Below are 27,966 nucleotides of genomic sequence, written 5' to 3'. Positions count from 1 at the left end.
TTTTTTTTGAGACAAGGTCTCCCTCTGTTGCGCAGGCTGGAGTGCAGTGTCATGATCTCGGCTCACTGCAGCCTTCCCCTAATGGGTTCAAGCAATCCTCCCACCTCAGCCTCTCAAGCCTGGGATTACAGGCGAGCCACCGTGCCCAGCTAATTTTTTTTTATTTTTAGTAGAGACTGGGTTTCACTACATTGGCCAGGCTGGTCTCCAGCTCCTGACCTCAAAGTGATCTGCCCGCCTCAGCCTCCCAAAGTACTGGGATTACAGGCATGAGCCAACGCGCCTAGCCTTTCATTGCTTTTTAAAGACCTAATAGGCTAGACTTTGCTCTCCCTCAATACTCGTTGGTAGGGATAGGCAATTTTCTCAACTCCGGAGAGCATTCATTTGCCTCTCTCCGGTGCTAACACATTCAGTGGTAGGAAACTGGATCTTGAACAAGGGCCATTCATTCTTTGGTGCCACTGGCTATACCACAGAGAAATTTAGGGGTCTGAAACAATACATTGGTCACCTGGGCACCTATCCTAAGCACCTTAGAGGGAAAACGGAGACTTGCCCGCACACCTCTAAAGGATTTTGCACTTGGAGATGTTCTTATGGCCATCTATCTTTTCACCCTGGTGGAGGCCGTGAATAGGCATTTTCCCCATTTAAAGAAAAAATGGGGACGGGGGAGGGCCGTGACACAGTCACACAGGTAAGGGGCAGCCAGATGGCAGGGAGGGGGAATTCCACCCACACTCTCGGGGACTCATGGAGACGGGTGTTCGAATCCAGATCCTGCTCAAGGCCTTCCTACCTCGGGTGAGCCCAGCTGAGGTACCAGCCACTGGGGAGCCCGGCCAGATCCTGCAGATGCAGGGTGCCACGGCGGGCGGAATTACCGGCGCCAGACTTGGGGTGGGATATGGGGAGAAGTGGTGAGCCCGGAAAGCGGAGCACGGTAGAAGTGGGCTGGGTGGGGGCTCACCTCAACTCCCCCATTCGGAGCGTCCGCGGAAAAACGAAAACGTTCCCCCGCCCCGGGCAGGAAGGGGTTGGGAGGGGGGGCTGGCGCCCCGCCCCAGCGTCGCCTGCTCGATGGGGTCCCGCTCTCCTGCGCGCGCTCCCCGCCCCCTCTCTCCGGGGCGGCGGCGGCGGCGCAGGGGAAGGGGCGGGCAGGGGCCGCCGCCGGTTTCTCCTCCCACCGCCTCGCGCCAGCCCAGCCGAGCCGAGCCGAGCCGAGCGGGCGCCGCGCCGGGCTCCCGCCGCAGCCGCGCTTCCCGGCACCCAGCGAGCGAGTGGGCAGGCGGGCGGGCGAGGCAGCCGCGGGGGCCGGGCCCGGCGTCCTCCTCGCCGCCCGCAGCGTCCCCGGGCGGGCGCGGGCCGCGATGGCAGCGGCGGAGCAGGGCTGAGCCCGCTGCCCGCCCGCAGTTCCCGGCCCCGCTGGCCCCAGTCATGGCGAAGCAGTACGATGTGCTGTTCCGGCTGCTGCTGATCGGGGACTCCGGGGTGGGCAAGACCTGCCTGCTGTGCCGCTTCACCGACAACGAGTTCCACTCCTCGCACATCTCCACCATCGGTAAGGGGCGGTGGCCCGGGGCGCCCCTCCCTCCCCGCCCGCGGCCCCTTTCCCCGCCGCCCCCGTCCCCAGCTGGGGAGGAATTGCCAGCCCCTCCGGCTGGAGGCGGTGGCGCCGGAGGCCGGAGTCCGGGATAAATCTCGGGGTGAGCATAGGTTTTGGCAGGTGAGGGTGTCCCTGCTGCCTGCCGTCCGGACCAGGGGTGGGGTCTCCCGCCTCTTGCCGGGAAGCCTTCCGTCCCATCAAACCGAGAAACCGGGGGTGAGGGGAGCTGGTGTAGGCCTGGGTACCCCGAGCTGGGGTAGCAAGAATCGTAGCCGCTGGAATAACATCCCCACACCCCCAGGGGGAGGGGAAGTAAAGCTTCTGCTACGGAAAAGGGGGTCAGGGTGGAGACCGGAGTCACTGAGGCGCCCTTGGTTCTGTGGTGACCCAAGGTGGAGCCGGCGGGGGGCGAGGGGGGGAAGAGAGGACGTACGGAGGGGCCACAGGGATCGAGTTTCCAGGGCAGAGTTGGGAAGGTAAGCCGCAAGGTGGGACACCTGGGGGAGGACACAGATAGGGTGAGGAGCCCCTGCGCCTGGGAAGAGGAGACATCTGTTCTGAGGGAGGCTAAAGAGGATGGAGGAGTGTCAGGAATACCTGCCCAGACCAAGGGGTCAGAAGGCAGGCAGGACCCGCCTGAGGGCATCTCTCATCTGGCAGTGCTGGAGCCTGTGGTTAGAGGGACAAGACCCGGTGGCATCCCAGACAGCACTATGATGGGGTCACTTATTCTAGGAATGGGTCCATGGCCTCCCCTCTGAGACAGTCAGTCTCCCGCTTCTAGGCTGTGAGGGGCCCCCTCCCTGAGAAGTCTGAGTAGAGGGAATTTCATCCTCAGCTGCTACCCGGGTCAGCCCTGGAGTAGCCTCTGCATTGCCCAGGCCCCTGGAAACACCTGCTGGCTGGCTGGTCATCCATTTGGAATGCTCTCCTAGAAGTCCCTGCTGCCATCAGGGATGGGCACCAGCTCTCAGCTTCCTCTTGAGGATTCATGTCCACACCATCCCCCCTCCCCCCAACACACATTCCTTGCTGAGAGAGAAGTAGGAGCAGATAGATACAGCCAGGAGGAACAGAACCTTCTGGTTAAGAAGCCAGCTTTATTGTCCAAGAGACCTGAGACCTCACTGTGGGGCAAAGCAACCTTGAATATTGCCTAAACTTCTGAGCTTTATTTAGTTTCTCATCTGTAGAACGGGTATAATAATTGCACCTACCTGCCAAGTTGTTGTCAAGATTAAATGAGATAACGATTGTTAAGTGCTTAGCACAGCCAGACACATGGTGAAGCTCGATAAATGCTGATTGTTCTTACTGCTATTGCCATTATCATTGAGCTTTTAGGGTCTCCTCTCTTTGTTTCACCAACTTGAAGGGTGAAACAACAGGACTTAGGGTCAGGGAACAGAACTTGTCCGTCTTTCTCAGAGGAGCTGTAAGGCCAACTCTTAGGAAACCCAGGAGCTTGGGCTGAGCCATGGTTTGGATGAGAGACATTGCAGAAAGAAGGGGAGCCTATAGACACTAAGGCTTTGTGCCTGCCGGGAGGACTTGGGGAAGAGGCAGGTGCAGGAGAAAGGCATGGGCGTGATGGAGGAAGTGGCAGAGGAACCAGATGGTGTATGAGGACAGGTTGTGGGCTCAGGGACAAAGGGCGGTGGGTTATCCCTTAAGGAAACTAGGAGTGGCTATTTTTGGGAGAGGCCTGGTGCTTGGAACTACTGAGCTATCTCCAGAGAGCTGTGGGCTGCCTGGGAGGCCCTGGCTTTGGCCTGAAGAGCTGTTGTTTGCACCTGCTCTCCTAGTCCCATTCCAAGTCCTATAGGTGACATGGACTTTTCCCTTTGAGGGCTTCATTCAACCACCTCATTTCAGAAGCTCTGGGACTCCTGCTTAGTGCTGTGGGAGGCAGCCTCCCCTGGGAGACACATACCCTCCTTTTTGAGGGCACCCCTCTTTCTAAAATACCAGGATGGCCCTCTGAGGCTCGTGCTCTCCTTAAAGAGAGTCCATTGCCTCACACCTCTAATCATCCACCCTTCTCCTTGTCCCTTCCCCTTGTAATCTCCCTTCTTAGACACCTTCTGCTAATAGGTGAACACTAAATAGGTCACAGGGACTTCCTGAAACCCTCCAGGGCAGACCACTTTGGGCACATAGGTGAATCAGTGAACTGAGTAGGGGTGTCTCTGCAGCACTGTCTCCCCTCAAGGCCCTTGGTATATTGGCCTAAAACCTAAAGATGGCTCCCAGATTTCTTCCTCCGCTTCTGACACCCGGGTTCCCCTTTCTACAGGACACAGAGGATTCTCTAGGGTCCCCCTTTCCACAGGACACAGAGGACTCTAGGAGTTTGGATTCCATGGAATAGAAAGAAACCTGTCTTTCTTCACACCAGCCTTTTAAAATCTGCCCCACTGGGTATCTTAAATGCTTTCTTATTTAAAGCTTATTAAGGGACTTGGGATTCTCCCTTATCTTGGGCGTGTTTTTCAGCATTAACTAAAACTTAAAGGAAAGAGTTGGATGGTCAAGAAAAGCTTTTTCCTTAAGTGATATGGACAGTTTCTCAAGGAGGTAGAAGGGGCAGCCAGGAGACAAATCAAGGAGCCAACGAAATGAGTGCTACCAAGTCATAGTCATTCGCTTATTTTTAAAAAATGCGTGTCCTGTATGCCAGGCTCTGCACTGAGACCGAGAGATTCCAAGATGAATAATACCTACAGTCACTGTTCTCAAATTGTGCATTACCTAAAACACATTACATGACCATGCTGGCCACTGATCGAGGCACCTTTCCCAGGGGCTTTTTTTGTGAATTAAGAAAACAAGGTAATTCACCAGTTATTGCCAAGATAGTTTGGCTTCTTGGCTCATGTGGATATCACCTAGGCCAGTACTTTTGTGATTTACTGTGTACTCCACTTTAACGGCCTGCGATCTTCTAGAGAAGAACCCGCCAGGGAGCAGTGAGAGGCCTCCCTGGTAGACTGAGACACTGACTGTCCCTCCCCCTATCCTTTTCGTCTTTCTGGCCAGCAGACCAGCAGGTGGCCCTGCCACTGGCTCTGCCACAGGCATTTCCTTTCTGTGCAGCTGTGCTGGCCTGGCTGGGGGTTGGTGCGAAGGGGTCCCCAAAATACTACCTTAAACAAATTAATTGAGCATTCACTACCAAGCTCTGTGCCAGGCATTTTAGAGACATATTGCAGTCTACGTTTTCTGCCCACAGAAGCCCATAACCTAGATGGGGAGGCAAGACAAAGGGAAAAACAAAAAACAAAGAGCTAGTGCCAAAATGAGATATCTGAAAGAACTTGGTGAATCACTCTTCAAATGTAAAGGATGGATTATGATCATTGCAGTTACTCTTAATGAAGGTCTCACAGTGGGTATCAGAAGCTAAATTATGATGCAAGATGTACCATGAGGCAGCCGGAGAATGGCGATGGATGGGATGGGTGAGTGCTATTCCCACGACTCCATGCTGTCGGAGGCTGGGGAAGAGAGAGGCCCCTGTGGACTAGAACCGGCAGGGAAGGCTGAAGCTAGGCCTCAGTGTGGGCTGCTCGTCAGTTCCTGCAGCAGAAGGGAGCAGATGGAGTAACATGAGCAGAGATAACAGAGGTGGGATTGAGTAGGTGTCCGTGGGGCTCTAGGCAGTTTAGATGCAACAGAAGGGATTCTTCAGGAAAGTGAGAAGATTCTTCTGTTTCTCTCTCTGTCTCCCAAATTATAAGTGCCTTGATGGTGCGACCAAATCTTATTCCTCATTGTTTTTATAGTCCCTAGTACAGGGCCAGGCAGATTCAATGCCTGTTGTTAAATTAATGAATGAATGCAGGGACCAGTTGGCAGAGGGCATTGAGAGCCTGGCCAAGGAGGTGGAACATGAGCCTTAGCAATGGTAGGAGGGGTTTTGAGTAGGGTACTAATGAGGTTGGCTGGAAGAAGGGGTTAAGACTTGAAGCAGGGAGACTAGTCAGGGGCTGCAGTAGTATCTGGGCATGAAGGAACCTCTGAATGGCCCCTCACCCCCAGTGGTACCAACACCAACTTCCACACAGTCAGTTGTTCTACTTTCCCTCCAGAATGGGGAGTGGTTCAAGCCAATCAACCTGGCAACTTCTGAAAGAATCTTATGGGACCTGTGCCATGACCAGGTAGGGAGAAGATGTCATACATGGACATCTATGTTCAGGGGACCTTTGAGGACCTTTCTGCATGGTGGCCAGGAGTGAGATGATGTAAACCACAAATGGAAACTGAAGAGACTGCTCAGGAGTTGTTGGTTTTCTTTTCTTTTCTATTTTTTTTTTTTTGAGACTAGGTTTCACTCTGTCACCCAGTCTGGAGTGTGGTGGTGGCACAATCACGGCTCACTGCAGCCTCGATCTCCTAAACGCAATCCTCCCACCTCAGCCTCTCAAGTAGCTGGGACTACAGGTGCATGCCACCACATTCAGCTAATGTTTGTACGTTTTGTAGAGATGGGGTTTCACTATGTTGACCAGGCTGGTCTCGAACTCCTGGACTCGTGATCCACCAGCCTCAGCCTTCCAAAATGCTGGGATTATAGGCGTGAGCTACCTCACTCCCTCAGGAGTTGGTTTTCTCCCTCCCATCCTTAGTCTTCCCTGAGTAGACCTGTCACCTAGTCCCTGGACCTTTTGTTTTGAAAGCCACCCTCCAGGCTACACTCCTTCTGGGTGAGGAGGAGGGTGATCTGGTTGGACAGGTTGGGCTGCTGTGGCTTCAGGGCACTTTCTCAGGCTGGGTTGCTGCTGCTATGTCACCTTTCTCAAGGAGTTCTGCTGGGACTGGCTTGGCTGCCTGTCTTGACTTTGCTTTTGACTGAGGAGGTGGGAGATGGTGAGGGAGGGGGTGGGGCTAGATCCAAGCCTGGAATGGGGTGACCTAACAGACACTGGGGCCTGTGCTTAGACACTAGGATCCTGGGGTTTGCAGGTTTCTAGACTGAGAGGAGCTGGGGGCAAATGCAGTGTGACGTTGTGAGAGGGTCAGGGCTGGGTCTGTGTCAGCCTTCAGGCAGCCTGAGACCAGTCTCTACCTACTCTGTTCCCCTGGTACCTAGAAAGGAAGGGAAGGTGAGAAGCAATGAGCAGAATGGAAAGAGCCCAGATTAACATGCACATTTCCCATGGCCTTACTGGCCCTGTGACCTTCAGACACTTTGATGACATCTTTGTGCTTCGTTTCTGCATCTGTAAATTGAAGATGGTAACAGAGTCTTTCTTAAAGGTTGTTGTGAAGATTATAGAGCCTAGCGCATATAAAGCACTTGGCAGAGCCCTCGATAAAATAATAGCTGCTATCATATTATCATTATTATTATTTTATTTATTTATTTATTTATTTTTTTTTGAGACCGAGTATCTCTCTGTCGCCCAGGCTGGAGTGCAGTGGCACAATCTCGGCTCACTGCAACCTCCATCTCCCGGGTTTAAGTGATTCTCCTGCCTCAGCCTCCTAAGTAGCTGGGATTACAGGCACCCACCACCACACCCGGCTATTATTATTATTCCTAGCTATAAGAATGCTGTAGAGATGAATACACTGTCAGTGAGCTAGGAGGTCATCCTGTGTATCCATCACTTGTGCACTCAGTCGTTCAGGCGCTATTTGCTGAACACCAACTACATGCCAGGTGCCATGCTAAGATTTGGGGACACAGTGGTGACCAAAACAGACAGAAACCAAGGAGCTGGCTTACATTCCAAGGGAGTGCATAGGAAGCTGTGTTTCATTTCAGTTTCTGCTCTAGTACCCCCCTTTCCCTGGCAGTGCCAGGGTCTGAGAAGGAAGAGTGAGGTGGTGAGGAGGTGTGAAGCAGTGGGGTGACCTGAGAGGAGAGGATGGGGTGGCTTTGCCTCAAGGCTTGGGCCCCTGCTAGGTGTCGCTCTGCCTCAGGCCTCTGTTTCTCCTCCTGACACAGGCACAGACTCGGCCTCCCACCCCTTCCCCAAGGACATGACCTTGGGAAGGAACATATCTGAAGCCCGCGGAGGGTTTCCGCTGCTGTGCATCTGTGCCACAGATCCGCAGATGCACCCACAGCTGGGAGCACCGGTTCCTCCCGCCTACCTGCACTCCCTGGTTTCTGTTCCTTCCTCCTCCTCCTTCCTTCTCCCCGCTCCCCAGACAGGCTGGTGATGAGCTTTATAACATGAAAGCTGATATTTGGCCATTATCCTTCTACCCTGATTGCCAGCTCTTCTCAGAGTGCCTTCTTCTGTAATCCAATCTTTGCACCAGTTTCCCTGTGAAACTGCCAGTTTTCTGTATAGGCCTCTGCCCTCTCCTTGGCTCTTCTCTCTGGTCAGTGAGCTTTGTCAAGGGGAACACAGGGCTTCCTGGACACGTAATTCCTCCCACTGAGGAGGAAGGGGCTAATCACCAGCCCTGTTTTATTTTATTTTATTTTTTTGAGATGAAGTCTAGCTCTGTCGCCCAGGCTGGAGTGCAAATGGCTCGATCTCGGCTCACTGCAACTTCTGTCTCCCGGGTTCAAGCGATTCTTCTGCCTCAGCCTCCTGAGTAGCTGGGATTACAAGCATGCACCACCACACCTGGCTAATTTTTTGTGTTTTTAGTAGAGATGGGGTTTCACCATGTTGGCCAGGCTGGTCTCGAACTTCTGACCTCAGCTGATCCACCCACCTCGGCCTCCCAAAGTGCTGGGATTACAGGAGTGAGCCACCATGGCTGGCCGACCCCATCTCTTAAAAAAACAAAAAGAAAAGAAAAGAAAACAAAACAAAAACACTTTTTAAATTAACTGATTATGGTGGCATGTGCCTGTAGTCCTAACTACTCAGGAGGCTGAAGTGGAAGGATTGCTTGAGCCCAAGAGTTGGAGGCCACAGTGAGCTGTGATCACACCACTGTACTCCAGCCTGGGTGACAGAGTGAGACCCTGTCTCAGGAAAAAAAAAAAATTACTGAGAACTCTGTGACCATGGCACCATGAACTATAGAAAGGGCTAACAGTTGGCTTTGAAATGTGGGTTATGGCTGGGTGCGGTGGCTCACGCCTGTAATCCCAGCACTTTGGGAGGCCAAGGTGGGCAGATCACAAGGTCAGGAGTTTGAGACCAGCCCGGCCAACATAGTGAAACCTCATCTCTACTAAAAATACAAAAAATTAGCCGGGTGTTGTGGCAGGTGCCTGTAATCCTAGCTACTCGGGAGGCTGAGGCAGGAGAATTGCTTGAACCCAGGAGGTGGAGGTTGCCACAAGCTGAGATCGCACCACTGCACTCCAGCCTGGGCGACAGAGCAAGACTCCATCTCAAAAACAAAAATAAAAACAAAAAAAAGTGGTTTGTTTTCTTTTCTTTCTTTTTTCTTTTTTTCTTTTTTTTTTTTGAAACAGAGTCTTGCTCTGTCACCAGGCTGGATTGCAGTGGAGATCTCAGCACACTGCCACCTCTGCCTCCCAGGTTCAAGTGATTTCCCTGCCTCAGCCTCCAGAGTAGCTGGGACTACAGGCACGCACCACCACGCTGGGCTAAGTTTTTGTATTTTAGTACAGAAGGGGTTTCACCATGTTGGCCAGGATGGTCTCCATCTCCTGACCTCGTGATCCGCCCACCTCGGCCTCCCAAAGTGCTGGGATTACGGGCATGAGCCACCACGCCCGGCCTAAAAGTGGGTTATTTTCTAATTGCTCTTCCCTGATTAAAATTTTCTCTTTGCCCATCTTTTCTCTAGATATGTACTGACTTCATTCATCCATTTATTCGTCTCACTTGCTCATTCATTTTTGCTTTCATTTACTCTACTTTGTTGAATAATATTTAGTGATCTACCTGCTGCCAGGCAGTGAGAGTCTGAAGTGAACAGGATGCTGCTTTGCCCTCTGGGAGCTTACAGTGTAGCTGGGAACCAGACATCCAAACAAGCAGAATATTATGCAAAAGAAATGTCAGGATGCTTTGGAATCACAGAGGAGTGAGAAATCCCTCCCGGGGAGGCTGGTGAAGGCTTTGAAGAGGAAGTGACATTTGAGTGGAGTCTTGAAGACTAGGCAGGATTCTCCAGGGGCCCTGGGTGTGGGGGAAGCACACATCCTCTTCCCTGTAGGAGGTGCTGTGGAGAACACCTCCAGTGGGGCTGCTACTCTTCAGCCTTGCTGGGGCCAGCTGGAGTGGCCACACCATGGTCACACCAGCTGAAGTTCAAGAAGCCCCTTGCCAGGAGATTGCTTTGCTGGCTCTGGGTGAGGGCAGGTGCATCTGGAAGCCCCCTTCTTTCTAAGATGTTTGCTCCTGAGTTTCTATGTCCTAGTCTTTTCTTCCCTGAACCTTTTGCTACCAGTCAGCACAGCCCTGCCTGAGAAGGAGGCTGGAGGAGTGAGTGGTCAGTAGCCTGGTGGGTCTTGGCTGCCTCTGTGGTGCCCGCTGGCCTAAGTAGCAGGCTTAGGGAGGCGAGACCCAGTTCCAGGGGCTGCCAATGGGGAGCGAGATGGGGTGGCTGGAGCACACTGCACATGTCACCAAGGCTCTAGGGAGGTCTGTGCACAAGGCAGTGGGAAAAGCAAGGGGAAGACCCAGCCTGGTCAACATGGTGAAACCCCGTCTCTACTAAAAATACAAAAATTAGCTGGGTGTGGTAGAGCACGCCTGTAGTCCCAGCTAACTTGGGAGCCTGAGGCAGGAGAATCACTTTAACACAGGAGGTGGAGGTTGCAGTGAGCCGAGATCGTACCACTGTACTCCAGCCTGGGTGACAGAGTGAGACCCTGTCTCAAAAAAAAAAAAAAAAAAAAAAAAAAAGTGGGGAAGGGGAACACTGATCCTGATTATCTACTCCATATACTTACTATGTACCTACTACCTACACAGGGACGGTGGGCTTTACGCATGCCATTTATTCAGTGTATAGAGATCTCAGCATCACATAGGAGCAGGGAGTTCTGAAGTTGGCCTTGCTGGCATTTGAGAAGTTTCTTGGTGTATTCTTCAGGTTCACGCCTCCAGACAAGTGTAAGTGCTATTGAATGCTGACTATGTTCCAGGAACTAAACCAGATGCTAGAAGACACGCAGTAAACAGTACAGATGCAGGTGCACATGTGAGGGTCCACACAAGACCTGAGAGAAGGGAGGGGTCTTGCTGCAGTTCCCCTTTTGTAACAAAGGAGAGAGTACTGTTGACCCTCTTCCTAGGAACTGTGAGTTTGACTGAAATGTGTCCTGCCACAGGATCTTTGCTGCTTCCTCTACCTGATTCTTTGGATCTCCCTGCTGGCACCTTCTTGTCATTTAGGTCTCAGCTCAAATGTTACCTCCTTTAAAATGTCTTCTCTGGCCAGCCAGTCTAAGGTTGCTTGTGCTTGGGGTCTCCTCACTCTCTACTTTATCCCGCAGTTGCTTCTTATCACATATGGCTCTCTGAAATTAGGTATTCATTACTTACATCTGTCTTCCCCACTAGAATTAAGCTCTGATGACAAGGATCTTTCTGTGCTGTTCATAGCTTATCTTCTAGTACCTGGCTTAGTTCCTGGCACATTGTAAGCATTCAATAACAGTTTGAATGAATGAATTAACAAATGAAGGAATGAATGAATGCATTTTCCTAGAGGACTTCTGTTCTTCCCTGAGGGAAGTTATAGGTCGTATTGGTTTCTTGGGACTGTTTTTTGTTTGTTTGTTTTGTTTTGTTTTTTGAGACAGAGTCTCACTGTATCCCCCAGGCTGGAGTGCAGTGGCACAATCTTGGCTCACTGCAACTTCCGCCTCCCAGGTTCAAGCGATTCTCATGCCTCAGCCTCCCGAGTAGCTGGGATTCCAGGAGCCTGCCACCACGACCAGCTAATTTTTGTATTTTTAGTAGAGACAAGGTTTCACCATGTTGGCCAGGCTGGTCTTGAACTCCTGACCTCAGGTGACCTGCCTGCCTCTGCCTCCCAAAGTGCTGGGATTACAGGCATGAGCCACCACGCCCGGCCTGTTTTTTTTTTTTTTTTAAGACAGAGTCTTGCACTGTCTCCCAGACTGGAGTGCAGTGGTGTGATCTCAGCTCATTGCAGCCTCAACCTCCTGGCCTCAGGTCCAGGTGATCCTCTTACCTCAGTCTTCTGAGTAACTGGGCCCACTGGTATATACCACCACACCTGGCTAATTTTTAAATTTTTTGCAGAGACATGGTCTCACTATGTTGCCCTGACTGATCTTGAACTCCTTGGGTTCAAGTGATCCTCACACCTTGGCTTCCCAAAGTGCTGGGTTTACAGGTGTGAGCCACCATGCCTGGGCTTGAGACTGTTAAGATGATGAGGCTGGAGGGAGTGGATGGCCTCACTGCTTGAGCCCTAGAGATTCCTTACTCCAGAGTGCCCTGGCTGCAGAGGTGGCCCTGGAGGGTCACTCCAGCAACCTGGCTGAGCTGATGGGCATCATCTGATACCAGCTCTGACCCTGAATAATAGGCAACATGGACCTTAGTCTAAAGCACTGACCCCTCATCTCTGCATATACCAAAGAAGATGAGATTTGGGTGAGGACACAGCCAAACCATATCAGCTCCCGGGATCCCTGTGTGAATGGGGTCTTTTTTGGTGTTTGAGGGCTGCACAGGGTGACCTCTTTAGAGGTGACCTCCTGCCACAACCCACAGGAGGTGCACATGGCCCACACATGCTGGTTTCCTGCAGTGGGAGGGGCTGGGGCACTCCTGGGACCTGTGCTTGGTAACTGGAGCTGGCCTGGCCCTGGGGATTGGGTGTCTGCCTTGGGTTTCAGGTGTATTAGGTTGTTCCTCGTTGTGGAGTCTCATTACTAATGAAAAGTTCAGGTCGCACTGCTGGTCCTTTGGGCTGTGGTTGATCCTGGTGATAACATTTGGCACCCAGAGGCAGCCCTGTTTCCACTGAAGCATGCGGAGCTTGGCTGGCAGGCAGGCAAGCTGGCAGCTGCCCTTAACCCATGAGGTGCTGGCCCGCTAGTAGGCACACCCTACCTGTGCCAGAATTGAGGTTGTAGCCAGACTCCAGGAGCCATCTGGGCCCCACAGGGGGCGGCATTTCCTCTTTTTGTTGAAACATTCCAGCCAAGTGCTGGCTTGGGCTTCATCTCTCTGTCCCACTCTCCTTCCTCTCCCCAACATAAGCCTCCTTCTACATCCTAGAGCTCTTTCCATTCCCCCTCCTGCAGCTCTGGGCTCGCTAATCTCATGCTTCCCTAAGGGAGCTTGACGGCTGCTTCTGCTAACATTTAATAAAGTTCTGCGTGCCAGACCCTGTGTTATGGGTTTTACACCTTATCTCACAATCTTAAAAAAAAAATTCTCTGAGAATCCTCTGTCACCCCCACTTTACAGGTGAGGAAACTGAGGCAAAGATAGGCTAACTGGCTTCCCCAACACCATGCAGGTAATTAGTGATAAAGGCAGGGTTGGAACCAAACTTGACCTCCCAATTGTGCTCTTAATGGCCAGGACACTCTGTGTCTTGAGCCACACTTCCTCCATGTTTTCTAGGGCTTTCTAGGGAGGCAGACAGTGATGGGAAGGGGTGTTCTTTAGTGTGGATGTGCCCTGCCTGCTCCTTTCTGTAAGCGTCACAGCACCTCCACTGCTGTACTGGGGAGGCACCAAGTTTTTCCCTGTTTGCCCACCCAAGGCGAGCTAGCTTAGGAGTCACGTGAGTGCTGGGTGTCTCGCCTGCTGCATCCCTCTATCCTGCCCCTGCCCCCGGTGCCCAGAGGAGGGCCCTGCCTGTCTTCCCAGTTCTCCAACAGCAGCGCTGTCCCAGCACCCTCGGGCTCCAGTTGTGGCCTGGCAGCTGCTGGGGCAGACACCATACAGACAGAGTCACAGCAGGAAGAGGATGGGGCCCAGGGCTGCTGCCTCAGGCCATGGCTGCATGGCACCATCAGTTGATTGAGGAGCTTTTCTTGCCAATGTCTGAGGCATCAGGTGGCAGGACACGTCTCCCTGCTCTTAAGCCTCAGGCATGCAGCCCTTCTTATGCTCTCTGGGGTGAGGGGGAGATCCCCCTCATGGAATTGCTTTTTTTTTTTTTTTTTTTTTTTTGAGACAGGGTCCTGCTCTGTCACTCAGGCTGGAGTGCAGCCTCAACCTCCCAGACTCAAGTGATCCTCCTGCCTCAGCCTCCCGAGTAGCTGGGACCACAGGTGGACACCATCACACCTGGGTTTTTTTGTTTTTTGTTTTTTGTTTTCTAGAGATGGGGTCTCACTTTCTTGCTCAGTCTGGTCTCGAACTCCTGGGCGCAAGCAGTCCTCCCACCTCGTCTTCCCAAAGTGTTTGGATTACAGGTGTGAGCCACTGTGCTTGGCCTTTTTATTTATTTAGAATTTGTTTTGGAATTGCTTCTTTATGCCTGGCACTATGCTGGCACTATGTGGCAGAGATTTTAAAAACGAGCAAACAAAACAAATGCTTTGTCAACCACAAAATGTATTCTCTGCCCCTTAGGTTCTTTTTGTGTAGTTGAGGCTAGAAGACAAAAATAGGGGGCAGTAAGGAGCAGGGAGCGATGGTTTAGGAGGTCTTCCTTCCAGCCCCCTTGTTGAAGCATCTGGCTCACTAGCTTGGGGGAGCCATTAGGCAGCAGTGGCCAATCCTGAGGCACTCTCAGGTGTCACTAAGAAAAGGGGCATGTGCTCTATGGATACCCATGGGCTGAACTTGGAGTCTGGTCTGGACCCATGGCTGTGCTAGGATCCACCGTCCCCAGCCCCAACTGCAGTCAGCATGTTCATCATCCTTAGGCCTCTCCGCTTCTTTCTGCATGTTTGTCTGCCTCATGCCCTGCTCATTACCAACTGGTCAGTCCCCACTGCCCTGCCTGGAGTGAGCTGGTTTGATTGGCTTAGCTAAGCTCCCTTGCCTCTGCTGGCCAGGTCACCCTGTGGGTCACCAGCAAACCTGTTGATGGTCCAGTCTGAACCTGCTTCTCCACAAAGAACATGTTGCACCCAGCCCTGCTTCTCTGAGCAGAGGTTTGGGGCTGAGCTGTTCTAGCCAGAAAGGGACACAGGGTGTGGCAGGCACCATGATGGGCATATCTAATGTGCCGGGAAAAACAATGAGCTGCTCTCCGTGCTTTGGGCACCTGGTTGGGAGAGGGCCCATCTGTCTGACTTTCTCCTCCTGGGGCTCTCAGCGTCTCCGAGAACCTCTGCCAGAGCTGTGTAGAAGTGGTTTGCTTGTTTCTTAACACTTCTGTGCCCTATTTCTTTCTGTACCCAAGAAAGGAAGTAGACTGTTTTGTAGGGACACTGTCGGGGTGATGAATCTGGACTTACTGGAATCATGAACCATGCCAAGGAGGAAGGAGAAAATAGGCTATGGTGGGTGTCTTAGTTAGGGCTGGCTGCTGTAACAAAATGCCTTTAGCTGAGTAATTTAAAGCAAGAGAAATGTATTGCTCAGAGTTTGGGAGGCTGGGAAGTCCAAGATCAGGGTGCCAGCAGATTCAGTGTCTGGTGAAGGCTGATGCTCTGTGACAAAGGTGGCACCTTCTAGCTCCATCCTCACATGGCAGAAGAGGGAACAAGCTCCCTCAGACCTCTTTTCTAAGGGCGTTAGTCCCATGCATGAGGGCTCTAACATCACGACTGAGTCACCTCCCAAAGCCCTCACCTCCCACCAGCACTGCACTGGGGATTAAGTTTCAATATGGGAATTTTGGAGGAACACAGACCTTCAGACCACAGCAGCGGGCTTCTCCTCATGTGCCCCCTGCCTCACTTCTAGATGCCGCATAATGTCAGTGAAACCCCGTCTCTACTAAAAATACAAAAAATTAGCTGGGTGTGGTGGCACGTGCCTGTAATCCCAGCTACTTGGGAGGCTGAGGCAGGAGAATCGCTTGAACCCAGGAGGCAGAGGTTGCAGTGACCTGAGATCGTGCCACTGCACTCCAGCCTGGGCGACAGAGGAAGACTCCGTCAAGAAAAAAGAGAAAAGGCATCAGGTATGCCAGGGTGTGCGGGAAAAGGCATCGGGTATGCCAGGGCGTGTGGGAAAAGGCATCGGGTATGCCAGGGTGTGTGGGAAAAGGCATCGGGTATGCCAGGGCATGTGGGAAAAGGTGGTAAGATTCCTCAGCCTCCCAGGGTTGGGAAGCCTCTGGCCGAGTGAAGCATACCCTGGGTGGGTTTTAAGACACCAGCTTTCCAGTCCAGCTCAGCTGTGGGATGTGGGAACATGAGTCAGTGGGAACATGAGAATTGGCTTCCCTGTGGCTCACAATAATACCTACTCCTGCCTACTTCATGGGACCCGCATAAGAGCTGAGGGATTCCATAGCTCAGGGGTATGCTGTAAAGACAAGCACTATGCACCTGGGTGTGGTTCTGAAACTTTCTTGTGCAGAAGAGTGAGTAGGGCTGGGCGAGTCCTGAGAATGTGCATTTCTCACACACCTCTGATGCTGCTGATGCTCTAGTCCCTTGGCTGGCAAGGGTACCTGGTTAGTAGGGGCCAGGACTCTGTAATGCCTTCCACTTCAGGGTTCTCTGGGCTGGTTTTCCTGACTCCCCAGGAAGCCTTTATTCAGCAGAGGGAAGGTAGGAGTGAGAGGACTACGCTGTCAGTGCTTCACATACATCGTTTAATTTATCCCAGCACAGCCCTTAGGAGGGAAGCAGTATTCTCCTTCTACACTTAAGAAAATCGGCCTGGTGCGGAGGCTCATGCCTATAATCCCAGCACTGTGGGAAGCTGAGGCGGGAGGATCGCTGGAGCCCAGGAGTTCAAGACTAGTCTAGGCAATACAGGGAGACCTCATCTCTACAAAAAAAAAAAAAATTAGCTGGGCATGGTGGTGCACACTTGCAGTCCCAGCTACCTACCCAGAGGCTGAGCTGGGAGGATTGCTTGAGTCCTGGAGGATCGAGGCTGCAGTGAGCTATGATTGCTCCACTACACTCCATCCCTGGCAACAGAGTGAGACTCCATCCCAAAAAAAAAAAAAAATTGAAGCTAGGAGAAGTTGAGACTTGCCTGAAGTTACACAGTAAGTGCCAGAACCAGGACTTGGACCAGGTCTTTCTGACTCCAGGCCAATGGATGTTTCTTCCATGACATATATAGCTCTTGAAACTACTTCTATCTAATATCACCCACAGTGCTGTTAAAAATACAGATTTCTGGGCCTCACCCTCAAATTATGATTCAGTAGGTCTAGGCACGTCAAGGTCATTGTTTTTGTCTTTGTTTTAAGTCACCCCAGGTGATTCTAAAGCCGAAGCTCTGCAAAGCACACCTTGAGAAACAGAGAACTCTTGTGCTCTCGCTCTCTTGACACTTCAGGTGCAAAACTTTTGTCCTAATGTCGTTCTCAAACTTACGCATGTGTGAGAATCACTGTGAGAGCTTATTGAAACTGATTGCGGGACCCCATACCTAGAGGGCCTGATTCTATAGGTCTGAGGTAAGGCCCAAGAATTTGCATATTTGCATTTCGTTTTCTTTTCCTTTCTTTTCTTTTTTTTTTTTTTTGAGATGAAGTCTCACCCTGTCGCCCAGACTGGAGTGCAGTGGCATGATCTCAGCTCACTGCAGCCTCTGCCTCCTGGGTTAAAGCGATTCTCCCCACACCCCAGACCCGCTCCTGAGTAGCTGGGATTACAGGTGCCCGCCACCATGACTAGCTAACGTTTGTATTTTTAGTAGAGACGGGGGTTTCACCATGTTGGCCAGGCTGGTCTCAAACTCCTGACCTCAGGTGATCCACTCACCTCAGCCTCCCAAGGTCTTGGGATTACTGGTGTGAGCCACCGCGTGCGGCCAGAATTTGCATTTCTAACAAGTCCCAGGTGATGCTGATGCTGTGGGTCCAGGGACACACTTTGAGAACAGCTTGTTACTCAGGCGATATGTGGACAGTAGCGTCATCTTCACCTGGGAGCTTCCTGCAGCATCTCAGGCCTTGCCCTACACCTACCAGATCAGAATCTGCATTTTAACTCAATCCCCGCGTGATTCTCATGCACCTGGAAGTTTGAGAAATATGACCTTAGAGGAGCCGGAATGTGAAACCACTGGAGGCAGAGATAGATGGAGAATATCTCTTCTTCTCACGGATACTAAAGATGCAACAAAAAGGGCTGACTCTCTGGGTGTGCACCCAGGTGGGGCTGATGACCGAAAAGAGGCCAGATGTGGACAGAGGACTCTTCCCTGAGGGAAGGCAGAGAGAACTTAGGAAAATCTGAAGAAAGGAGGTGGCTTCAGAGGAAAGGCATTCATCTGGGCCATAAAACAGTGGAGAAGGTATCCTGCTGAGAGCACAGGGGTGGGGAGGGGGTGCCCTGGAGCTGAAGTCTTCAGTGGGGGGACAGTGATAGGTGAACACACATGTGAATAAACAGTTTGCTAAGCAGCTGCGAGGGCTGGCCAAGGTGAGAAAGCATCCGTCTGCAGAGGCCTCAATAAGGCCAGTGTGTTGACTTTGTCCTGCAGTGCTCAGCAGTGGAAAAAACCAACAGCCACGCAGGGAGAGGGAAGGAGCCACGATGGGCACGGGTTACTGGGGCCAGGGCTTGACTGGTAGGTGGACACAGCTGAAGGCCCAGGTTGTGTGGGAACAGAGCGCAGAAGCAATAGATTCCTCTTGAAGATCCTTGGGCTGTTAACCTTTTTTAAATTTAAGAGAGGTTGTGTGGGCGGGGAGGGAGGAAGGAAAATCCTTCAGAAGACATAGACTTACTCTGTTTCTTCCATCATATGTGAATGCATATGAATAGCCAAAAGGTGAATAAAACACATGTTCCCAGGTGGCCAGTGAGACCTAGGTTGCAAGATGGTGGGGTGTGTGTGAGGCCGGGGAGTGCTGCGAGCCCCGGAATTCCTCAGCCTTAGTCCCCCGCCACATAGCTAAGAAGTGAGGGAGGAGGTGAGAAGGAGTCACTGCCCAGCCTCACTTCCGGTGGAGTACCCTGTCTCCTTGTCAGTTCTGTCTCTGGGGACAGTTGCCTGCTTTCACCTCTCCCTCCATCCCCTCTTCTCTCACAGGGAAAAATTCACCTTAATATTGGAAGTTCCTCTCCTAGCAAAGTCCTTCTCAGGCACCCACAGGCAAAAAGGAAACTAAGCAGAGTTAGGGCTTCCAGGCCTAGCCAACTACACGACTCTCCTCTTGCTTCCCTAAGAACCAGCGCAAGGGGCAGCGTGGGTTCCAGCATAGATGGACCTGTGTTGGAATCTCTGCACGTGCTGTGCTGACCCTGGCTAGCCATTGACCTCTCTGAGCCCTTGTTTCCTTTCCACTAGGCTCTCTGAGGGCAGGGGCCATGTCTTTTTCACTGCTCTGTCTGCACTGAGCACTGTGCAGGGCACATAGGAAGTTCCCATAAATGTTTGTGGGATAAAGGAAATAAAACCTTCTCTCTTCCTGTCCCCCTTGTGATGGCTTTGCACAAGGCACTGTCCTTGGCCAGGTTTGCTAGGCTAGTGTGAGGATAAACCAGGTATATTACAAATTGGAGAAAATTTCTCGTTCTTCTTGGAAGAAGGTGCTGTATCATGAAACAAGAATGTCTTGATTCCCTTCTATGCCAGGTACTGGGGAGAAACAGGTGCCTGATAACCGTTGATCCAGGCAGAAATAAGCATACTCCTGCTTCCCAAGGCCTGATGCTTCTCTCCTTCCTCCCTTCCTCCCTCCTTCTCTTCACTCTTTCTCTGCACACATGGAAGAATGGCTGCCAGGCATTGCCCATTTGGAAAAGTACAGCTCAATGGATATGAATCAGCTTGGGCAGGCGAGAAATGATTCACGTCTGACCAAATCGATTTAGTTCAGGTTGCCCGTTCTGCATCTTTTTTCCCTTGTAATTAAATGATGATTGGTCTTGATGGTGGGAAGGAAGAGACAGAATTTAATTTGTTTGCCTTTGTAGAAAGCTGGGGACAGCACAGATAAGGGAAGATGTCTCCCATTTGGCAAATAACTGATGCGGAGGTGGAGTGGCAGTGGTGATGGGGATGCTGGTGCCTTCAGGCCTTCTGGGCCGGGCAGTGCAGCTGGTGGCAGACGGTTCGGAACTCTACCATGTTCCCATCTGAAAACTGTGGCTGATCATGCCCACTCCTGACCTTGCTCCAGGGAGTACACAAAGACGTAAGCTTAATTAACCCACCAGACGTAGCTCTTGAATCCCTGGGCATAGTGCCTGGGTATAGTTAGAGTTGGGGAGAGGCATGGTCAGCAAAACAACCTCCCTCATCTCTCTGTTGTCACTCAGAGTCAAGCTGGCTGCTGCTGGTGGTGCTGACTTCTCTTGCTGCAGATTTCTCCAATATGTTTCTGCCCTGCACGCATTTGCCAAATCCCTTCGGTTTCTTGTGTCTCGTGGCAGCTTAGCTCCTCCAGCCCTTGGATGAAGAAGCGTGGGAACTCTTTGCTTCCTTTCCCTCCCGCAGTGACATGCCATGCCATGCCACTGCCTCTTCATCTGGTCCTATGACAGTCACTCATAAGCACCCGCATGTACCCGGCCCTGCACTAGCTCATGACAGCTGCAGTCAATTGGGCCAGGTGCTGTATCTCATCCGGCCTCCTCAGCAACCCTCTGAGATACTGGTAATGTCCCTGATGAAGATATTTACTGAGGCAGAAATGGACGCTCAGTGAAGCAAGGTGCCTGATGTTATAGCAATGAGCTATGAGTGGCCAGAGGGAGGAGATAAGCTCAGGCCTGACACCAAAGCCCATGCTCCTTCTAGTCAACCACAGTGCCTCCTATGGTGAATGAGTGAGTCAGCAACCAAGACGCATGAGGCCTTCTTTTTGGTGAGCCTTGGCTGGGTGCTGAGGCTTCAGGTACAATCATGGGTTGGAAGAGCCCTCCTCTCTCTCCACAGTCTGGCACTATGACCCCTTCTGGTTATTAACAAGGCAAAGAGAGAGAGGGAAGAAAGCAGGCAAATAATGTGGGTTGCTATTCCTAGAGATTAGAATTTCAGGAAGGATAAACACAGCGTTCTCTCCAGAAGTATAAATAGGAAGACTTCACACATGACTAGAACGAGACATGTTTTAAGTCTGTCGAGTAAGGCAGTGATGAAGTAGATTTCCCCAGATTCACTCTCCCTCCTCTGGGTCCCCCAGGGCCTTTACTTGTGGCAACTTTCAGCTCAGGGAGGGAGGAAAGCCCCTTTCAAAGCTTCAGATACTTCCTTAAGGTCAGTTTCTGCTTAAAGAAGGCCTTTACATTACTTCATCCCTTTGCCAAATTAAACTGAAAGGAAACCTTTCAAGTGTGATTGCCTGGCCCTTTCCTGTTCATTTCTCGTGGGTACGCTTTCTAACTTTCTTTCTTTCTTCCTTTCTTCAGGTGTTGACTTTAAGATGAAGACCATAGAGGTAGACGGCATCAAAGTGCGGATACAGATCTGGTGAGCTGGGGAGGAGGAGGAGGCAGATGTAGGAGAAGAGGACTTCTGGCTGCTCCTTAGCTGCCCCTGCCATGTGTAAAATTCCTAGGCTTCACCTGGGATAACTGGCCACCTCTCTGATGGATGGAAGCGAAGTCTCAGAAGCCCATCTCTTCCTATAAGCCTTAATCTCCAACCTCTAAGAAACTTTAGGGGATTGACTACAAGCACCAAAGGGCAGGAATTAGAAGGAACTGGCACACTAACCATTGTGAATTTATCTCAGGATTAGGCTTTGCCCTTGGGCTGTGCCACACTATGTTAAGATTGGAAGGAAGGAGGCTACACCCCCCATCATTTAGGGCGAGACCCTGAGAGAGTTCCTCAGGATAGCATGATGAAGTTTCCACAGTAGCAGAGGGTGCTGCTGTGGCTCTCTGCCTGAGGTCTTGGAAGCACTGCCTTTGCCAGGGTTTAGAGCTCCCTCTCAATTCCACAGCAGTATGGGCACTGCCTTCAGAGGTCCCATAGGGACTAGGGGTGTAGCAGCATCCCCTGCCAACTCCCATCCAACCAAATCTGGCCACAGTGGCCAGATTCCAGAGAGCTGTCCAAGGCCTGTTCTGGCTGTGGCTTCTGGTTTCTGCCAGGAGGGCAGTTGGCAGGAGGGGCCAAGGCCCTGCAGGCCTGGTCAGCACCAGCACAGATGACCAGGCCTCTGACTGCAGATCCCTGTGGGGATCCAAGCATCCCTGGTTTTTCACCCTTTAGCTCCCCAGTTTTTCCTACAAGGGGACAGCTCTGCTCTTCCCCTCCCCGTCTGTTCCCATGGTCCCTGCTCCTCTGAGGGACTGGCTTTCTCCTGCAGGGACACTGCAGGGCAGGAGAGATACCAGACCATCACAAAGCAGTACTATCGGCGGGCCCAGGTAAGCCACCACATTGGGGGTTTCAAAGTGGGAAGCTGCCACCCACACTCCCAGCTCTGGGTATTTGAGATGTCTGTGCCACGGATCCCCTAAATACAGTTCGCCTGCTTGGAGGAGCGCAGGGCGTCTTTCAGCTGTTCACTGATCATTTGTCCGTCCATTGTTCATGGCCCACTCACTGCAGGCAGGCCCCTGCCCTCACCCCTGACTTCCACCCTCCATCCTGGGTCAAAGATCCAGGTCAAAGCATGTGGTGTCTTCCTGCTGTAGAGAGTTCTGTGATGGGCCTGGGAGGCGGCAGTGGTGGGGTCTGAGAGAAGAGATATTTCTGGATGCTGAGCAGGGAGAATGGGAGAGTGGGACCCAACCTTTAAGTTTCCACGGCCCCTTCTGGCCCCATGACTGCACTCTCTCTGTGCATATCACATCTCTCTATTTCTCTCTCTCTCAGGGGATATTTTTGGTCTATGACATTAGCAGCGAGCGCTCTTACCAGCACATCATGAAGTGGGTCAGTGACGTGGATGAGGTAGGAGATGCCACCTCACTGCCGGGGTGTGGAGAGGGTGCCTCACCGGGGAAGGCAAGGCGAGGGCCAGATGGGAAGGCAAATGCTTCCAGGAAGCTTTGCCTTCCACAGCCCTGGATGAAGACCTCTGGGTGAGTAAGACATGGGGAAGAAACCGAAGCTGCCATGCCCTCACTCTCTATACCCTGCCAGGCCTCCACGGCTGTGTCTTTCCCGGAAATGAATTAGTTCCAAGTCTTCCCTGTGAGCAGCTTCTTTCCTGAAATCTTGGGACCAGGTGGAGTTGCAAGATTGGGATCTAGTCCTGGCTCTGCACAATAGCTGTGGAGCCTTGGGAAGCCATTTGAATCCTCTGGGTCCCCAGTTCCTGTAGAATGAGGGCTGGACTTACATCCAATGTCCTTTCCAGCTCTGATACCAGTGGTCTAACCCAAGGAAGCACCAGTCTTAGCCAGAGTGTCTTCTACCCTAAGCTCTCCCCGTGATACCCTTGAGGTCAGCCATGGCACTTGGGGGAGCCTGGCACCTGCATCCAGTCGGCCCACCCTGTCCCTAGGGCTCTGGAATTGGTGGTGGGCTGGAGGCAGTGCAGACTCTGTAGGGAAAATTGGGGGGGCAGGCAGCACTCACTGGCTGTTCTGCCCATCCTTTGTCCCTAGTACGCACCAGAAGGCGTCCAGAAGATCCTTATTGGGAATAAGGCTGATGAGGAGCAGAAACGGCAGGTGGGAAGAGAGCAAGGGCAGCAGGTAAGTGGAGGGAAAAGGCAAGTCCACCCCAGGTCCTCTGCTGGGCCTCCAGGGCCAGTCCTGAGCGTGGGGACCTAGGGGTGTGTTCCCCAGTGGCAGGTCCTCCCACACGTCCCCAGCACCCCAAGGCCCTGGGGGAGTGGCCATCCTCGGAAGGCTTGTTGTCTGGGTTTCAGGACAGAAGCCCAGAGATTCGGGGTCCATCCAGAAACAAAGACGTCATAGGCAGCAACTCTCCCAAGTCCAGGTCCCCAAATGCAGGATTGCCCTCTGCTTAAGAGATCATCCCCGTGTTAGTAATGAAGGACTTCAAGTTGTCAACCTCTTCTCTGACAGCATCCAGGCCTAGCTGCCATGTTACGGTCGAGAAATGATCTCCCATCCCACCCAACACTCCCCCACTCCTGTCCTTCTTACCCAGGAAAGAGCCAGGGAGGCAAATGAGGAGACAAAGAGCCACAGCTGGAGAAGCCATGGGGGCAGAAAGGGTAGGAGGATGACGCTGAGGGAATGTCCAAGCATGCAGGGAGACCATCCTCCCAGAGAGCAGAAAGAAATATTGGTTATTTTTTTTTTCTTTCTTTCTTTTTTTTTTTTTTTTTGAGATGGAGTCTCGCTCTGTCACCCAGGCTAGAGTGCAGTGGCGCCATCTCGGCTCACTGCAACCTCTGCCTCCTGAGTTCAAGCAATTCTTCTGCCTCAGCCTCCCAAGTAGCTGAGATTACAGGTGCATGCCACCACGCCTGGCTAATTTTTTTGTATTTTTAGTAGAGATGGGGTTTTGCCATATTGGCCAGGCCGGTCTCGAACTCCTAACCTCAGGTGATCCACCTGCCTCAGTCTCCCAAAGTGCTGGGATTACAGGCGTGAGCCACTGTGCCCAGCCAAGATTGGTATTTCTGAGATAAGTTATCCACTCAGTCCGTGGACCTCAAGAGTTTTCCTCTCCCTTTTCAGTCAATAGCGTTCCATTAGTACTTAAAATGAAATTGATTGTTTGGTATAAAATATAAGACATGGTCATTGACCAATTTGAAAGTAGAGGCAAAGCCTACTAGGATAGTATTTATTGAGCACTCTATGTGTGGCACTGTGCTAAGGCAAGCGCTTTTAAGTGCACGACCCCACTGAATCATCCCACAACCATGGATGGGAGACACACTCAGTCTCCTTTAACAGAAGATAAAGCTGGGGCTTACAGAGAATGTACAACTTGTCCAAGGTCACACAGCTAGCCATCAGTGGCAGTGCTGCTATTCAGGTCTGGGACTGTGGGACTCCAGAGCCCATGTTTTTTACGAGGATGCCATACTGCCACAATGGATGGTGTCTTTATCTCCTGATATATGATTGTGTGTTGGGAGGCGTGGGGTGGCAGCTGGAAGAATGGAGAGGCATATTTGTGGAGGATCTTCCCCCATTCTCTGCTACCCTCTCTTGGAGCTCCCAGTCCCATCTGAGAAATTATCTACTCTGAGAAATCGTCACAACACAGCATGGTTGTGAGTGCAGTGGCAGAAGCCTGTGCCTGGTTGTATGGGCCCCTCCCCTGCCTTACTGACTCTCTTTCAGAAATGTCCTTCTCTTGCAGCTGGCGAAGGAGTATGGCATGGACTTCTATGAAACAAGTGCCTGCACCAACCTCAACATTAAAGAGGTGAGAGCCCTGGTGACCAGGCGCCCGCTCTCTCGGGCTGAGTCCAGCAGAGGTGGGAGGAGGAGCCATAAGATGGACCTTATCCCTCAGGCCGCTGCAGGGTTGCCAGGGGAGAGGAGGAGACACTGGACTAACCTGTGCCCTTTGGTTTCCAGTCATTCACGCGTCTGACAGAGCTGGTGCTGCAGGCCCATAGGAAGGAGCTGGAAGGCCTCCGGATGCGTGCCAGCAATGAGTTGGCACTGGCAGAGCTGGAGGAGGAGGAGGGCAAACCCGAGGGCCCAGCGAACTCTTCGAAAACCTGCTGGTGCTGAGTCCTGTGTGGGGCACCCCACACGACACCCCTCTTCCCTCAGGAGGCCCGTGGGCAGACAGGGGAGCCGGGGCTTTGCCCTGCTGCTGTCCTCTCGTGTGATGACCCTATTGAGTATCAGTAGCCACTACTCCCCCTGCCTGGCCCTGAGAGCGGCTCTGCTGTCATCTCAAGCAGCCCCTGTCCCCAGCCCGTCCACCCTGGAGTGGTCTTCTTCAGCCTGTTTCCCCAGCCACAGGCCTGCTACGACCCCCACGATGTGCCGCAAGCACTGTCTCACCATCCCGCACCCACCAGACAACAGCCAGGGCTGGAGTCCAGGCCACTTTCAGCTGCTCCTTTCTCCGTGCATCGTGTCTCTTCTCTGCTTTTTCTCTCTTCCCCCACTTCTCTTTCTCTGACCCCTCCCCTCCGGTGCGTTTCGTATCAAAGCTCCTCAAACCCCGTCCCCCGTGTGTCCTGCTGTGTGCAGCTCGCTCTTTCCTTCCTTCCTAAGCTATCCAAGGGGATGGACCCAGGCTCGTGGGGAGGTTCCACCCTTGGATCCAGGAAGAACCCTCCACCCTGCCTCGTGGGTGGGCCAAAGGCTACAGGGTGCTTCTTCCTCTTCCCCCACCCCCACTGTCCCTCATGTGCCATGGGCCTGCCTCCCCAGTGACCTGCGAAAGTGGAGCATCGAGGTAGGAGGGAAACGGCAACCAGGGAGTCCTCGAGCCTGGGGCTGCCCTACCTCTACCCATTCCCCGACCAGAGCTTTGCCCTTGCTTGGCTGCCCGCCTGCCTCTTTGGGGAACTGAGCTCAGAGGCAGGTGCTTCAGAGAAGGAAACAAAATGAGGGGTGGCAGGGATAAAAAGTCACCTCCATTCTCTACCTCCCATGCAGCATGAACACAATTTCTCTCCACCTGGCTCCCAAATTTAAAGATGTGGACCAAGGCCTGTGGGTACTCCAGGGGCAAGGAGAGCCCTGGGGTCAGTGACACTGTCAGGCCAACCATGCACTCCACAAAGGGGAGCATTTGGAAATGAAGGACTAGCTCCTATGTATCAGGTTAAGAGCAAGGGAGAGCTGGCCAGGGACAGCAGTTTGCACAGCAGAGGGGAATGTAGCAACAGCAGGGCCTCCTAGGCCCCATCTTCCATTTCTTAGGTAAGAAGAGCATTTCCTCAGACTCCCAGGCGGAGGACTGAGCCTAGCCTTCAGCAACCAAGGTTCTCCTGGGACCCAAAGTTTATGGGAGAAGGGCAAAGACTTCATGGGAAGAGAGAAGGAAGGCCCTGGGTAGAAACGCTTGGTGCTGTTCTCTTTGGCCTTTAAGACAAAGCGCTCATCTTGCCCTCTACCTCCTGATAGGCTTGAGGGTTTGCCAACCACACTGTGGCTACAGGTGGAGGGAAGAGGACTCCTTCCTCCAGAGTGCTATGTTCAGGAAGTTTCTTTAACCCCATATGGCCCAAGAGTAGCTCGTAGGAGGCCCTTTAAAGACGGAACAAGTAATTTACCAGTTCTACTGGGGTTCCTGCCCACCGTCCCAAGGTGGGCGAGGCCTAGGAAGAGGGTCATTCTTAAGCCACACATTAGCTGCACTGCGTGGCTGCAGCCAAAACAAAGAACTGGGTGTTGAGTATTCATCAACTAAGAACCAAAATCCAGGGCACTCATATGTGAAGGATAAGAACCTCACTTCCTTACTCCTCCAAAAAGAAGTGGGGAAAGAACCATCAAACCTTTCCTCCTGACTTACCAAACCAGGAAAACAGCAGGAGAGGGTGGCTCAGGACTTAGGGACAGGGTATAGCTTAGATGGTGGAAAGCAAAGGAGAGCAGGAAGTTGTAAATCACTGGCTAATGAGAAAAGGAGACAGCTAACTCTAGGATGAAGCTGTGACTAGGCTGGAGTTGCTTCCTTGAAGATGGGACTCCTTGGGTATCAAGACCTATGCCACATCACACTGGGGCTAGGGAAGTAGGTGATGCCAGCCCTCAAGTCTGTCTTCAGCCAGGGACTTGAGAAGTTATATTGGGCAGTGGCTCCAATCTGTGGACCAGTATTTCAGCTTTCCCTGAAGATCAGGCAGGGTGCCATTCATTGTCTTTCTCTCCTAGCCCCCTCAGGAAAGAAGGACTATATTTGTACTGTACCCTAGGGGTTCTGGAAGGGAAAACATGGAATCAGGATTCTATAGACTGATAGGCCCTATCCACAAGGGCCATGACTGGGAAAAGGTATGGGAGCAGAAGGAGAATTGGGATTTTAGGGTGCAGCTACGCTCACCCTAAACTTTTGGTGGCCTGGGGCATGTCTTGAGGCCCAGACTGTTAACCAGGCTCTGCTGGCCTGTTTACTCGTCACCACCTCTGCACCTGCTGTCTTGAGACTCCATCCAGCCCCAGGCACGCCACCTGCTCCTGAGCCTCCACTATCTCCCTGTGACGGGTGAACTTCGTGTACTGTGTCTCGGGTCCATATATGAATTGTGAGCAGGGTTCATCTATTTTAAACACAGATGTTTACAAAATAAAGATTATTTCAAACCACCGGTGTGGCTGCCTGGATGAGTCCTTGGGGGTAGGTCTCACTCAGACCCTGGCAGTGATGTGGGAGGGAGAGAGGCAGTGCTGGTAGAAGCAGCTCCAGAAGCAAAGGCAACAGCAGTAGAGTGACCACGGAAGCGGCAAACATTGTCTTCCCTTCTCTACCTTCCCTAGTGCCACCTGCAGGGAGGCCCAAAGCAAAGCCCCGTTGCCCTGCATTGGGCTGGCACTGCAGAAATAAGATGAAACACAGTTATCGAGAGGATGC

General features: G+C 52.2%; 2 protein-coding genes across 6 annotated transcripts in view, besides 3 other annotated features; one reads left to right on the top strand and one right to left on the bottom strand.

The window, feature by feature from the left end:
• CHURC1-FNTB (CHURC1-FNTB readthrough) overlaps positions 1-27,966 on the bottom strand; it is a 148,295-nt gene that overhangs the window by 89,139 nt on the left and 31,190 nt on the right. The gene's annotated exons all lie outside the window — the stretch shown is intronic.
• Positions 1,019-1,388: a silencer, noted in NCBI's record as "silent region_5845". NCBI's record gives its function as "represses an Ori minimal core promoter by ATAC-STARR-seq in GM12878 lymphoblastoid cells {active_cell/tissue: GM12878}" and the evidence as "EXISTENCE:reporter gene assay evidence [ECO:0000049][PMID:35858748]".
• On the top strand, positions 1,181-27,701 carry RAB15 (RAB15, member RAS oncogene family). Of its 4 annotated transcripts, NM_001330182.2 has the most exons (8): positions 1,181-1,564; positions 15,358-15,577; positions 20,946-21,006; positions 21,854-21,914; positions 22,366-22,443; positions 23,103-23,192; positions 24,784-24,849; positions 25,005-27,701. In NM_001330182.2, the coding sequence occupies exons 3-8, from the start codon at positions 20,960-20,962 to the stop codon at positions 25,161-25,163; spliced, it is 501 nt and encodes a 166-aa protein (NP_001317111.1). In that variant the 5' UTR covers positions 1,181-1,564; positions 15,358-15,577; positions 20,946-20,959; the 3' UTR covers positions 25,164-27,701. The 4 variants fall into 4 exon arrangements, with proteins under 4 accessions (NP_001317111.1, NP_001295083.1, NP_941959.1 ...); NM_001308154.2 differs by lacking the exon at positions 15,358-15,577; NM_198686.3 differs by lacking the exon at positions 15,358-15,577 and having other exon boundaries at positions 22,366-22,574.
• Positions 12,888-13,406: an enhancer, noted in NCBI's record as "H3K27ac-H3K4me1 hESC enhancer chr14:65426829-65427347 (GRCh37/hg19 assembly coordinates)". NCBI's record gives its function as "activates a minimal SCP1, AML or CMV promoter by ChIP-STARR-seq in naive H9 embryonic stem cells {active_cell/tissue: H9 hESC(naive)}" and the evidence as "EXISTENCE:reporter gene assay evidence [ECO:0000049][PMID:30033119]".
• Positions 17,747-18,624: an enhancer, noted in NCBI's record as "H3K4me1 hESC enhancer chr14:65421611-65422488 (GRCh37/hg19 assembly coordinates)". NCBI's record gives its function as "activates a minimal SCP1, AML or CMV promoter by ChIP-STARR-seq in naive H9 embryonic stem cells {active_cell/tissue: H9 hESC(naive)}" and the evidence as "EXISTENCE:reporter gene assay evidence [ECO:0000049][PMID:30033119]".

This window comes from Homo sapiens, chromosome 14, assembly GCF_000001405.40.
Source record: "Homo sapiens chromosome 14, GRCh38.p14 Primary Assembly".
In the NCBI taxonomy this organism is placed as follows: Eukaryota; Metazoa; Chordata; class Mammalia; order Primates; family Hominidae; genus Homo; species Homo sapiens.
Note: the sequence above shows the minus strand (reverse complement) of the source record. Positions and strands in the feature narration are given on the sequence as shown.

What these genes read in the sequence shown, in the direction of transcription:
- RAB15 (NM_001308154.2), top strand. Translation starts at nt 1,441, where the DNA reads ATGGCGAAGCAGTACGATGTGCTGTTCCGGCTGCTGCTGATCGGGGAC. An exon ending in GGGTCAGTGACGTGGATGAG is followed by an intron (nt 22,444 to 23,102) that starts GTAGGAGATGCC and finishes CTTTGTCCCTAG; the next exon opens with TACGCACCAGAAGGCGTCCA. An exon ending in GAAGAGAGCAAGGGCAGCAG is followed by an intron (nt 23,193 to 24,783) that starts GTAAGTGGAGGG and finishes CTTCTCTTGCAG; the next exon opens with CTGGCGAAGGAGTATGGCAT.